Source organism: Homo sapiens, chromosome 3 (genome assembly GCF_000001405.40).
Source record: "Homo sapiens chromosome 3, GRCh38.p14 Primary Assembly".
Taxonomy (NCBI): domain Eukaryota; kingdom Metazoa; phylum Chordata; class Mammalia; order Primates; family Hominidae; genus Homo; species Homo sapiens.
The window spans coordinates 13,528,801-13,542,602 of record NC_000003.12 but is presented as its reverse complement, the minus strand read 5'-3'; the positions used below and the strand labels follow the sequence as shown (position 1 = coordinate 13,542,602).

The following is a 13,802-nucleotide window of genomic DNA, read 5'->3' as shown; positions in this document are numbered from 1 at the left end:
CATCATGTGATATATTATGGTCATTTTTCTATCAATAACAGATATCAATAACAAATATCCAAAGATATCAATAACAGAAATCTTTGGAATCACTGTCAATAGCTGTCCAGTATTCTATCAGAATTAGCTTAGACTGTGCAGTCCAATTCTAGTCAATAGGGGAATGACACTGCAGTAGGGGCTACCTGCGTTAGGGATAAGAACCCCTTCCCCTCCCTTGTGTGCTCTCACCTTTGCTCCATCTGCAAGATGCACCCTTCTATAGAAGTAAAATTGCCTTGCTGAGAAAATTCACGTTTGAGTGCTATTTCTTTTGCAGCACCGAAAATTTATTTCTAACACCTGTAAAGCCAACTACTTGGTAGGCAGAGATGGGAGAGTGCAGTGAGCCATGATTGACCCCTGAACTCCAGTCTGGGAGACAGAGTGAGACCCTATTTCTAAAAAAAAAAGAAAGAAAAAGAAAAAGAATAAAACATAAATCTCTATATTTTGGAGCACTTGTCTATTTCCAAGAAGTTGCAAGGACAAAGGGCATATATACTATGGAGGTGTCCATCTTGGTCGTAGTAACCGATAAGCATTTTTTGTATAGCAGGAGTGCCAACCTATTGTCTGCCAAGCACATGCTGCAAACTCCTCTAGTTTAGCTTTGGTTATATACTTTTTTACACATAGAATTTTAAAAATTTGATGTAGACAGACCTACCAGTATTTTTCTTTGTGGTCTATGGTTTTGGGATTGTGCTTGGAAAGCCTTCCTCTATTCCAAGATAGAAATAGAATAGTAAGCTACCTATATTCTATTCCAGTTCTTTTTTCATCCATCCATGAAACCTTCATTTATTGCTGCCCTTGAATCTAACCCCAAGCCCCTCTGGCTGCCCGTCCCATGCAGCTGATGGCTGGTCCTCCAGCAGGTTGCCTTGTTATGGGGCAAGAATTTCCAGTTATACCTGGAAACCTCCCCTTCTAGGAATGTGAAGAAGGGAAACACATCTCTGTTTAAATAACAAACTTTGGCCTCTGAGGCTCCAAGTAACCTCTGGTTACCTGGCAGGACTTGACCCAACCCATCTTGGGTATAGATGGGTTTTGGATAATTAGGATTATGGTGGCCATGAAGATGTATCACTCAGATCTCGACTTATCTCTGCAGCATAGGTCACTGACTGCTCCTCCACACCTGCCATCACATTTGCACTGAGGCCACTGTGAGCTGCTCCCAACCAACGACAGAGCACAGAGCTAGGAATGGGAATGCAGCAATATCCCAGAGAGACCCAGGACTCCTTGCACTCACCTGCTGGAAAAGCTCCCAGGCCCAATCATCATCCTGGCTGAAGCTTTTTGGAATTGCATCACATTCCAAGACTCCTCCTGCCCAGTCCTTCTTCCCCTTCTCCCAGCACAAGTGTCAGAATTGTGCTGCCCTCTGAACTTCTCTCTGCCTTCTCCTGCTCCCTCCCTGCAAAATTTCCTTGCACATCTAATCCTGTCTTGCTTGGCAAAATCACTTTGGGCTTCTTAACAGACCGAAACTAATCCAATGATAGAAATGGTGATTGAAATCGTCACTGCATTATACAGTTTATGAAGCTCAGACACAGCTGCCTCCCTTGCATGTCCTCCACCAGCTGAAGGTTAAACACTGGGTGTCCCCACTTCACAGATAACAAAACTGAGACAGCTCAGAGGCAGCTGAGCTTGGGTCCCCCCAGGCAGCATGAGTGAGTCACACAGCCCCCTGGAGTCCCAGGCTCTTCTCTCTAGGCCTCTCAGCCCAGAGCCTGTGCCTGGGGCCACGGCCCAGCAGGCTCTGTGTTTCCTCATCCGGCCCTTAGGCCCTGGGGCCCCAATGGGCCACTGGAATGCCAGGAAAGACAGAGCCTGGAACCCCCTTCCTTGGGTGGAAAGAGCCCAGGTGCCCCTGCCCCAGCTGAACCCAGAGGAAGGAGCCAGGAACTGAGCTATGGGGTGGGAGGGCAACACCCTCTCTTCTTGAGCAACTCTGGATGTTGAGAGAAAAGTCATCCTTGCACAGAGAGGTGACCCCCTTCTGGGTTCTGGCCCCACCCTCTGGTCCTCTTGGCCTGTCTGCTTCTCCTCAGCCAAAGCCTCAAGGCTGCTCTTCTGCAGGCTGAGCCACCCCAGCTGCTCTAGTATCCTGGGGCCAATTCAGCCGTCCCTCTTCCAGGACTATTCCAGGGACTGAGCACAAGTCCTTAGAGTGGTCTGCACGGCCCATAGAGAACTTTCACTTTCCACATTCCAGCCTTCAGGCCATGTGACCTAAACTGGCAGTAGTTATTCCGGGTGATGTATTAAGCTGCCAACACACTCTGACTCCAGGGTCCCTTGACCTCCTAGCTGAAGGTCCAGAGCTGCTTGGCCATGGGCAGGTCTGTCCCTCTGTCCTGAGTATCTTCACTGAGTTGCCCTCTGGTCTCTTCCCATCCCTCCCGCTTTCCCCCAGGTGCTTCAACCCCTCCTTTCTCCAGGCCTCTTCACCAGGGCCCTGATAAGGGAGCAGATGGGAGACCCACATCCTCTGGACCACACTGGCCAGCTGGCCAAGCCCCTGGAAGTAGAGAAGACCCCCGCAAGGTGTGCCTTGATCCTTCATTTCCATCTGTCGGCCCTGGCCTCCCGACATGTTCGGGACATGGGCCCAGTCTCGGCTCCATGCCCCTGATCTCCACTCACCCTGACCCCCAGCAGGAACATAGCTTCAGTGTCCATCCAGCCATCTGTGCAGCCATCCGCCCACACAGGGATGACATAGCACGTGGTTACCAGGTCAGACTCTGGAGCCAGGCTGCCTGGGTTTGAAGCCCAGCTCTGCTGCTTAGTAGACATGGGACCTGGGAGAAGTTGCCTCTCTGTGTCTCAGGGTCCCAACTATAAAATAACTGCCTACCTCGGCATGCTGTTGTGAAGACTGAGTTATATGCTTAGGAGTGCTTAGGAGGTGGTTTGCATGTGGTAAGTGCTCAATAAGTATTAGCTAATATTACTCAACAAACCTTTCCAGGACACCCACTCTGTGCCAGGTACTGTGCATCCTACCAGGGCTCTGGCCATGAGTAGGGCTGACTCGCCCCTGACCACATGGAGCTCACATTCCAGTGGGAGATAGATATAAATCCAACAACCTCACACCCACACAATAAGAAGCGCCTTGAGGCAGTGCTGCAGGGGAGGTGGTGCGGACAGTGGTCAGCTGGAGCCCGGCTGCCTGGCTGTGTGCTAACTCAGACTCGGGAGGCTCCTAACCACTTGGGCTTCCTGTCCTCTTCCATAAAATAGGAACAGCAGCTCCTACATCGCCAGGCTTTGGGAGGGCTCCATGAGTTAACCAGTGGGAAGGATCAGACAGGGCCTGGCACACAGGAAGTGCTCAAGGACAGTTAAGTGGGCTCTGGGAAAGGGATCCGGAAGCTGAGGAGTCCACTGAAGGGATAGTTGGGGAGACGAGGAGGTGGCAGGGTCAGGCCTCACGGGGGAGCCTGTGGGCACGGGAAGAAGCTCCATGTTTATTCTGAGAGCGGTGGGAAGCCACTGGAGGAGGCTGGTGCAAGAGTCCAGGTGGGAGATGATGGGGTTCAGACAGGGCTGGTGGCATGGGGGCAATGGTAGGATTGGAGAGACACTGTGGGGAGAGGACACTGGTGTGATGCTGGGAGCCAGAGAAAGGGAGGGGCAGGCTCACACACACACGCACACACACAAACACACACACAGGTTTCTGGCTCAGGAGGTGTGAATGACAAGTTGGGAAAGGGTGCCAGTCTGGACTTACTGCTGCAAGTCACAGTATACTTGACTCAAAGAGGCTAAGTCAAGAAGGGAACTATTGACTTCAGTACCGACAGAGTACAAGGGTGGACTTCAAGCACAGCTTGATCCAGTCCTTCAAACATGTTACCAGGAGCAAGTTTCTCCCCCATTGTCACTCAACTCATAACCCTTCAAGTCCAGCTAGAATGCAGCACTTTTGCACTGGTCTTAAGGTTCTCCCCAAATGGAGGGACTCAATTCAGGTGCCCAGGCCTGGAACCAGTCACTGCCGTGGGGATGGGCTGTGCTGATTGGCTCTGCCCAGGTCATATATGTGTCCAGAGGCCTGAGCAGGTGGGAGGAATCTCCACGTGGAAACTGAGGGCTGTTCCCAGATGCTGGAGAGCGATCCATGAATGGCCCCAAAAGGGTGGGTAAATTTGCAGCCTTGAGTTTCAGGTCAATTTCTTGGACATTAAATTCAGACACTGTCAGATATGTATTTAGCACACATTTTTAAAATATGTTCTCTCTAAAGTTTTCAACAGACAGAAGGGGACTTCATCAAGCTCCTCAGTGATTGGCTGTCAAGTCGTGGAAGCCCCTGTGATCCAGCCAATGAGAGCCCAGAGATACCCAGAAATACCCAGATCTCATAGGGTCGTTGGCTCCCACTAGGCTGGGAACCGAAGGCCAAGCACACTGCGAGGGTCTGATGGAAAAGCAAGTCGCCTGTGGTTGGTGACTAATAATAAAACAAGCAGGTTACACCCATTGCAAAAATGTTAGCCAGCAGGAGAGAATGTGACATGAGCCCAGGGGCTGATTCGGGTCATGTGCAAACACTAGAAAGGGGTTCTGTGAAAAGCATGGGCTTCTTGACCCAGAAATCCTCTCTGGGGCCCCTTCCCAGTCACACTAACTCCCAGAGTTTCCTTAAAAGTGTTCCCACTTCTGTATGCACCCCTAATCTGTTCAATTAGGGCTGTTTTTGAACTTGATATAAAGAGACTCATACTTTAAGTGTTCCTCATTGCACTGAGGAGATGAGATGCATCCATCAGTGCCTACAGGTGGTCTTCATTCCTTTTCAGTGCTGTATAGTATTCTACTGACCAGCTCTTGCATACCGAATGATTCTCTGTCTATGGATATTTAGATTGCTTTCTGGTTTTTGTCATGTTTTGTTTTTCCTGTTACAAATAATGCTGCTATAACCGCCTCGTGCCTGTCTCCCTGTGACATTTGTAGACATTTGTATGAGTCCTTTAGGGCAGACGTACAGCTAGGTCATGGGACATGCACATATTTAGGCTCATCAGCTCATGCCAAATACTTGCTGCAGAGTGTTTGTGCCCATGTGTATTTCCACCAGTTGCTGCCAAGCGTGCCACCTCCTCACCAACTCTTGTGTGCCTGTGTAGTAGGTGTGAAATGGTACCTTGGTGTGGTTTTAGTCCACATGTCCCTTGTTACTAATGAGGATGAACATCTTGCCATGTTCGTCATCCATCTGCATTTTCTTTTTTGTGAAATTTCTGCTCATGGCTTTTGCCCCTTAAAACATTGCTTTCTTCTTTGCAATCACTAATTTCTAAAGCACAATCTGGCCATGGGACTCCCTGATTTTAAGCCCTCCGTGGCTCCCTGTGGGCCTCGGAGTCAAGCCCATACTCGGCAGCCTGGCCGGCAAGGTCCTAAAGTGGTTTGGCTCCAGTCTGTGTCTCCGTTTTTGATGGGAGCTGTTTCCTGTTTCCGCTCACGGTCTCCCCTCCCCCGACTCCTGCTTCCTCCACTGGCTTACCCACTCTCTGCTCTCTGCAACCTCCCAGCTCCTGCTTGTGCTGTGCCACCTGCCAGGAGCACCCTGCCCCTCCCCCAGGGCACCTCATTCTTTCCTGGCTGCTTCTTTGTCAGCCTTCAGGTCTTAACTGAAACCTCACCTCCTCCCAGGAGCTCTCCTGGCTCACTCTCACCCCCTGGACTGTGCAGCCACAGCACCTGTGAGCGCCTGTCTCGGGGCACTACTCCTGTGACATCAATGTCAGTGGGTTCGTCAGGCTTTGCCACTGGATGGCAAGCTCCCTGAGGGCCAAGATCATGACTGTTTTGTTTACACTTCTATTCCTGGTAGCTGGGAGTGTGGCTGCACACAGCCACACTCTAAAACTCTAAAACTCTCAGTGGAAGGACAGGAAGGAGGGAAGGATGGGCTGGAGGAGTGGGGGTTGTTAAAGAAGAGTGGCTCCACCAACACAAACAAACTCTCTGAGGGACCCAGGGACTTCTGGGAACCCATCTTAGGGTGGAGAAGGGAGAACACTGGATTGGGAAGCAGAGAGCCAGTCCTGCCTCCACTGCTGGCAAACTGAGCTCTCTGGACCAGTCTCTTGCTCTCTCTGCCTCAGTTTCCTCATCTAACAGAGGGTGACCCCGGCCTCCTCCATCACAGACAGTGCCCCTAGATGGCCAGCCTGAGGTCTGACCCATAATTCCAGGCCTAGGGAGCAGGCAGACCCCAGACCAGACAAAGGGGCCTTGTTCCCCGGGCTCTCTGGAGGAAACTTCCCCCGACAGCTTGGCTCCTGCTGAACAAAACCATATGCCAACATGTGGGAGGAGGGGCAGGTGGGCGGCCAGCATCCCAGCATCCCAGCACCCTTCTCAATGTCTGGGCCCCTGCCCAGAATGCCAGATGCCACGGACTTCGAGGAGAACTCCCTTCCACCCCTGCCCCAACCCCGGCTGCACCAGGCCCTCATCTGAGTCTTCCATGGGGCTGCGGGAGCCAGGCAAAGCATACACCCTTCCTGTCTCATGCACGGCTCATGCCAACCTGCCAGGCAGGCCCTGCTTTCAGGCCCGTTTTACAGATGAGAAATGCAGGATGCTTGGAGGTGGTGGTGTAAGCCCTTGGGCTCAGCCAGGAGGGGCAGAGGCAGCCTGACCCCCACGGTACGGCCACCCCCAAGGCTCCTGCCTGAGACCACAGTGTCTTCTAAAGCACACAGCAAGTGCCAAATCCCATATTGACCTTCCCTCTAGAAGAGTGGGCACAGTGCAGCCTCTCTGCAGCAAGCCCGAGAATGGGCAGGGAGAGATGTCACCATACGGCCTGCCAGACAACTTCAAGGAAGAGGCGGCTCTCAACCCCACAGCCAACTTCACGCAGCCGAAATCAGCTCCACGCTCCTCCAGGCTCCCCCTACCACCTGCATCCCTCCGGAGAGACTTCAGTCTCCATCCTGCCACCCACAGGGTGTGTGACGTGGAGTAAGGAACTCCTTCCCCTCACCTTTGTGTTCTCACCTGTGAAATATGAACAAGGGTGGCTGGCGGGAGGATGGAAAAGCTGTGGCTCCACCCCACTGGAATTGTGGAAGAGGCAAGAAACTCAGAAAATAACAACTGTGGACAAAGAAGGGAAACCACTGGAATGTTTATCCGCCAGCGGGAGTTTCGGATGGCGCGACCATTGTGGGAAACCGTTTGGCAGAAGGGACCAAAACAGAACATATGTGCGTGCTGTGACCCAGAAATCTCCCTCCTCAGTTTCCACTCAGGACAGCGTGTGTCCTCCAGGCAGGAGGCACAAACGAGAAGATCCCCAGCAGGGCTGGCCATAGCTCCCCAAACCGGAAGCCACTCCTCACCCACTGACAGTGGAGATGGGCAGGTGCGTCATGGGGCCACCACACAATTGAATACCCACAATTCACAACTACATACAGCAAGGTGGATGTAGCTCACAGACATAGCTCAGAGCCAAAGAAATTAGACACAAAGGAGTACACAAGTATGGCATACGCACTTTGTACATTTTGTGTGAAGTTCCAGAACAGGCAACACTCATCTATGCTGTTAAAAGTGAAGAGCAGGGGCTGGGTGCGGTGGCTCACGCCTGGAATCCCAGCACGTGGGGAAGCCGAGGCAGATGGATCACGAGGTCAGGAGATCAAGACCAGCCTGGCCAACATGGTGAAACCCTGTCTCTACTAAAAATACAAAAATTAGCCGGGCATGGTGGCGTGCACCTGTAGTCCCAGCTACTCAGGAGGCTGAAGCAGGAGAATCGCTTGAGCCCAGGAGGCAGAGGTTGTAGTGAGCTGAGATGGCGCCACTGCACTCCAGCCTGGGTGACAGGGTGAGACTCCATCTCAAAAAAAAGAAAAAAAAAGTTGGGAGCAGGTACCCTTTGGGTGGTTGTGCCTGTAAAGGGGCATAAAAGGGATTGGGGGCGCTGGTCAGGTTCTGTTTCTTGAGCTGTGTGCCAGTTCCACAAGTATGTTCAATTTGTGAAAAGCCAGGGTGCACACATTTATGATACAGGCGTCGGTAGCTGATGAAAGACAGGGCTGTGGTGCACTGTTCCCCCAGGGATGTTTATTTTGTTGCTGGTCTCTAAAGGCATGGCTAGAGTAGTTCAGTGCAGACAACATCCTGCCTATAGTCCTTCAGCTGGTGCTGGAGGTCACCTGCAGCCTCATGGTTGGCTCCTGCATATACAGATGACTTGTCACCTACACCACTGCTTGCAAGAGCTCATCTGGCCCACGTTGACTGGGCAGCCCAGGCATGTCCTGAGTTAGTGCCTCCAGGAGCCCCTCTCAAGCAATGGGGGACAGGGCAGGAGGTCTCTTGCTGGGACAATTCTGAGCTGTGCTCTGCACTGTCGCTTTGGATCCTGGCTGGACTGAGCTCCAGCGGCTCCCAGTGATGACATTCATTAACATGCCTTTTCCGATTTAGAGACAGGATCTCACCCTGTCCCTAGGCTGGAGTGCAATGGCGCAATCATAGCTCACTGCCACCTCAAATTCCTGGCCTCAAGCGATCTTCTTGCTTTGGCCTCTCAAAGTGCTGGGATCACAGGCGTGGCCCCTGTGCCAGGCCTAACACACCCTTTGTGGGCTTCCTCCTTTCCCTGCCTCACACCGTCACTGTGCTCTCTGGGATAATCTTCCAAATAAACTACTTGCACCCAGATCCTTGCCCCAGGTCTTCTTTTAGGTCCTCAGATGTTAAGACAAGAGGGATTGTTCATATCTGGAAATCAGGAGGTGGTAATGCCAGTCTCCGAAGGAATCAGAACATACCACAGGGCCTTAGACAGGTCACCAGCCTTGCCTGAGCCTCCTACAGGAGAACGAGGTGCTGAGGAGCCCTTTCCTTTTGCAGGAATTAGTGGCTAGGACCCAAAACTCAGGACAAAGAAGCAACCAGACGCCCACATTTTAAAGAGAGCCAGCAGCCCTTGCCAACACCCCAAGATCCTCTCCTCAGCCAGCCCTACCAGCCTAAATATGCAGACATCCAGGAAGAAAAAAGGAGCTCAGAAATCACCAGGCTTGTGAACTGTTGCTATGGGGCAGGAGTGGCACTTCCCTTCTTGCTCCAAAAAAAGCCAAAGGAAAGCCCAAAGCCAAATCTCCAGGAGACTGAAGGCACCTGCAAGGTGGGGAGACAGGCACCTCCCTCTCAGCCTGGGTGTCATCTCCTGCAGCAGACTGGCAGTGCTGTGTCCTGGGCTCATCGGCACGGGGAGAGGAGAACTGGAGAGAGCCGCAGGACAAGGGGGGGTGGCAGGGTTGGTCCCATGCGTTTCTGAAAGTCAAATGTCACCACAGTAGGGAGCCTGACATGGGCTGTCTCCTTGGTTCCACACCAGAGAGGGATGCCTGGCCATAGGGGGACCACAGCAGCAGGGGACCCTGATGGGAGTAGGAACTGAGCTGGTGGGATGGGGTCCAGCAGAAGCCAAATGCAGAGAGGGCCTCCCCCAATAACACTTCTGGAAGAATCACAAAAGCTCTGGTGGACAAAGGCCATACCAAAGGCATTGTTGGCGTTGGTGACTGGTCAGTGCAGCCAGGAGGCACAGAGACAGAAATTGGCCAGTAGAGTCAAACTCGGCCTCCTCCCCAATGTCTCCAGCCTCAGGGAAAGACAGGCCACACCCTCCCCACCCCATCCCTGGTGCCTCAGGCCGCATCCATCCAAACCCAGTGGGGAGGGGGGAGCGTGGAAGTTGACAGAAGCCTGATGGGGATTTTCAATCTGAGTGTGCAGGGATGTCCCACAGATGGAGATTATGGCACACCAGAATCCATAGAGCCCAGGAGGACAGCACCGATGGAGGGAAAAGAGAATTCTTTCCCTTCAGAGAGTTCAGGCTGCCCCAAAACTGGTGGTGCTTGGATTGGGAAGCTTCCCTTCATGAAGGAGGAATGGGAGGAGAGCCAGGGATGGGGGGGTTATGGGGAAGGGGAGTCTGGCTAAGGCTCAGCCACAGGAGCCCCCCACTTACCCACGCACCATGATGGCCACTCTCCAGGCTAAGGGAAGTCTCCATCACCCTCGGTGACTATGTCCCAGTGGCCACCGGCCTCGTGCCCAGGATCATTAACTCCCCTCCCCAGAGGCCCCCCCAGCTCATCCCCACCAAGGGCCCAGGAAGCTTCGCCCCACAGCCCCGGCCAAGCTCTTGGTCTCGGTGTCTGGTCCAGCTCAGATGGCTGAGCTGGTGAACATGGCCAAGGGTTGGGTGGGGAGCAGGGTGGGGGTGATTGAGCAATAGGAGGTTGTAAGTTTGAGAAAAGGAAAGCACAGGCCAGCCTCATGCAGAGACAGAGATGCAGCACCCGATAGTACAAACACTAACAAACCCAGGGCAGCCGCTTCTGAAGGCAGTTCATCACCCGCCAGCAGGAGGTATCCAGGAAGGCAAATTTGGCTTAACCCTAGAAGAGCAAGGCATTTGGCTTACCAAGGAAAAGGAGGAAAGTGATATGATCACCTCAGTAGAGACAGGGAAATGTGTATAATAAAGGCAACACCAGGCTGGGCATGGCGGCTCATGCTTGTAATCCCAGCACTTTGGGAGGCCAAGGCGAGCGGATCACCTGAGGTCAGGAGTTCGAGACCAGCCTGGCCAACATGGCAAAACCCATCTCTACTAAAAATACAAAGATTAGCTGGGCAAGGTGGCGGGCGTCTGTAATCCCAGCTACTTGGGAGGCTGAGGCGGGAGAATCGCTTGAGCCTGGGAGGTGGAGGCTGCAGTGAGCTGCGATCATGCCACTGCACTCCAGCCTGGGTGACAGAGTGAAACCCCATCTCAAAAAAAAAAAACAAAAAAAAAACAGAAGGCAACACCTTACAAGCTACAGTGGAAAGAACTGCCTTAGTATCATAAAGTATATTTAAATATTTCATTTTCTACAGAAAATTAAAGATAGGGCCAGATGAGTGTACAGGTCCTATTTCAAGACCAGTTTGCTCTTGCAGGCAATTGTCCCTCAACACCTCTCATGCCAGGCCCATCACACAGAAGTAGCAAGGGGCCCCACCCTGGTGGAACTAAATGTACCTGTCCAGCCTCAACGAGGCCTTATCTTGTTACAGAGGTGGCCGTCCCTGGAGTTGGGGAGCAAGGCAGAGCTGACTCAGTGCCACACACCAGTTTCCTGGCCTGCCTTTCCCTTCCTCACATGAACCTCTGCTACTTTTCTTTAAAAATTGTGGTAAAATACACACAGCATAAAATTTAGCATGATAACCATTTTTAAATGTACATTTCAGTGGCATGAAGTACATTCACATTGCTATGCAACCATCACCACCATCGGGCTCCAGAACTTTTTCCTCTTCCCAAACTGAAACTCTGTCCCCATTAAACACTGACTCCCGTTCCCCCTTCCCCTGCCCCTGGCACCCACAGCCACCATTCTACTTTCTGACTCCATGAATTTGACTCCTCTAGGGATCTCACGTAAGTGGAATTATACAGTATTTGTTCTTTTGTGACTTGGATTATTCCACTGAGCATAATGTCCTCAAGGCTCATCCATGTTGCAGCATGGGTCAGAATTTCCTTCCTTTTTAAGGCTGAATAATATTCCATTGTATGAATAGACCATATATTTTCTTTATCCATTCATCCGTCGATGGGTACTTGGGTTGCTTCCATTTTTTGCTGTTGTGAGTAATGCTGCTGTGAACATAGGGGAACAAATATCTATTCAAGTTCCTGCTTGCAATTATGTCAAACCATAGGAGCACTGGCTCCTCTCTCACTAGCTCAGACACTGAGATTGGGGAGATTTGCTGCAGAAGGACTGCTTTCAGTCCTTCTGAGGCTTGTTTTTAAGAAGGGGAGGGATGTGGGTGGGCAGAAGAGTCAAGGGCTGCATTTGTTGGCATCATCCACACGTGCAGCCTCAGCTTATCTTCACAGCAACCCCGATCTGGGCCACAAAAGCATTTTGTTTGCCAGGATACTTTAAAACTCACGACAGTTCAAGAATCTGTATTTCTTGCTTTCTGTATTGAAAAGCCAGCGGGTCTGGTTTGGCCTGCATTCCCACAGCTGGAGCCACGTCGTGGCCCCTTAGCCAGGGCCTGGCCTGCCGCTCCCTGCCCTTCCCTGTACTCCTCCATGCTGAGCGGAGGGCCAAATACTGCTGGCCCTCCTGGACTCGTTCTCCCTCTCTCGGAGACCCTGTGAGCAATGGAGCTTGTAAGCCTTTAGCTGAGGCTGGGGGAGTGGAGGACATCATCTTCCCATTTTTACAGCTGAGAAAACTGAGGCAGAAAGGTTAAGGAAGTGGCTGAATCAGGACTTGAACCCAGGACTCTCAGGCTACAAGCAGACACCAAATGAAAACCTGACTGTGGAAGTTGGGACTGGATGCTCAGAGAGAAATGTACTGACTCATCCACAGGCCCTCACCTGCATCCCAAACTGCTCTCTAGTTTGCATCCCAGACTGTGGCCAGGAAGGGCCTTCTGGAGGCATGCACCTGCCTACATTATTCCCCTGCCCAGAAGCCTTCCTGGGCCCCCACCACCTTCAGGATGGAGTCTGAATGCGTCAGCCTGGCCTTCAAGGTCCCTGTGAGCAAGCTCAGCTGCTCTGCCTCCCCATTTACTAACATCTGCCCCTCCAGCCAGACCACATCATTCACACCTCTGCCTTTGCAGATACTCTTCTCTCTGTCTTGATGCCTTGCACTCACTCTTTCTCCTGGTAAACTCCTACTCACCCTACAGAGCCCGGTTTAGGCATTGCTCTCTGCCCTGGGCTTTCTCCATTGGATGTATTCCTACTACCCTTCTCTCATGAGACTGAGCTCTGCAAGGGCAAGGACCATGTCTGAATCAGGCCTCAGCCCCCATGCCCAAGCCAGAGCCTGGCACAAAGTGGGAAAAATTGAATAAATAAATGGATAAAGGGAGGGATGGAGGAAGGGAAGGATGAGAAGAGATGGGTGGCTGGAGGAAGGGAAGAATGGATGGATACAGGGAGAGAGGGCTGGATAGAGAGAGGGATAGAAGGATGGATGGGTGCAGGAATGGAAGGAGGGAGAGAAGAATAGGTAGATGAAGGGAGAGAGGGAGAAATGGATGGATGATGGGTTGAAAGAAGGAAGGATGGCTCAATGGAAGGAGGGCAGGAGGGATGGAGGGAAAAGGGTATGGATGGTTGGATGGACGGATGGATGGATGGATGGAGAAAGAGATGAATAGAGGAAGGAAGGGGAGGACAGAGGGAGATATAGAAGGATGGATGGATGCGGAAACAGAGAGACGGAGAGATAGGTGGAGGGATGGGATAAGAGGGATTTCCTTACCCCACTGTGTGGTGAGGCCCTTGGGGAGGCAATGAGGTCTTCATCTGACCCAGGGGTCCTCCTTGGAGCACAGAGGTGGCTGCACAGCAGGAGCTGCGTGGAGTGAGGAGTAGCTGGAGCAGGGGTGAGCTGGAAGTGTCATTGGGAGTGGAGAGAGTAGCCTAAGTGATGGTGGTGACCAGCCTAGGGAGGGGCTGGGGTCCAGGGAGGAGTGGCCAGGGCATCAAGGATGAAAAGACGGGGGTCATGGGGACTGGAGCTGTGCTTGGGGGTTCTAACAGAGAGAGGGGAAGGGAACATGTGGGATTTAGGGAAATGTCCAGATATCGGTGGAAAAAGCCAGAGGATAAGGCAAAACCTTGGGGACAGGAGAGTGAAGCCAGCCAGGAA

The 13,802-nt window shown here is 52.2% G+C and overlaps 3 annotated features.

Moving 5' to 3' along the window:
* Positions 6,138-6,638: an enhancer, noted in NCBI's record as "H3K4me1 hESC enhancer chr3:13577465-13577965 (GRCh37/hg19 assembly coordinates)". NCBI's record gives its function as "activates a minimal SCP1, AML or CMV promoter by ChIP-STARR-seq in primed H9 embryonic stem cells {active_cell/tissue: H9 hESC(primed)}" and the evidence as "EXISTENCE:reporter gene assay evidence [ECO:0000049][PMID:30033119]".
* Positions 8,865-9,487: an enhancer, noted in NCBI's record as "H3K4me1 hESC enhancer chr3:13574616-13575238 (GRCh37/hg19 assembly coordinates)". NCBI's record gives its function as "activates a minimal SCP1, AML or CMV promoter by ChIP-STARR-seq in naive H9 embryonic stem cells {active_cell/tissue: H9 hESC(naive)}" and the evidence as "EXISTENCE:reporter gene assay evidence [ECO:0000049][PMID:30033119]".
* Positions 9,488-10,111: an enhancer, noted in NCBI's record as "H3K4me1 hESC enhancer chr3:13573992-13574615 (GRCh37/hg19 assembly coordinates)". NCBI's record gives its function as "activates a minimal SCP1, AML or CMV promoter by ChIP-STARR-seq in primed H9 embryonic stem cells {active_cell/tissue: H9 hESC(primed)}" and the evidence as "EXISTENCE:reporter gene assay evidence [ECO:0000049][PMID:30033119]".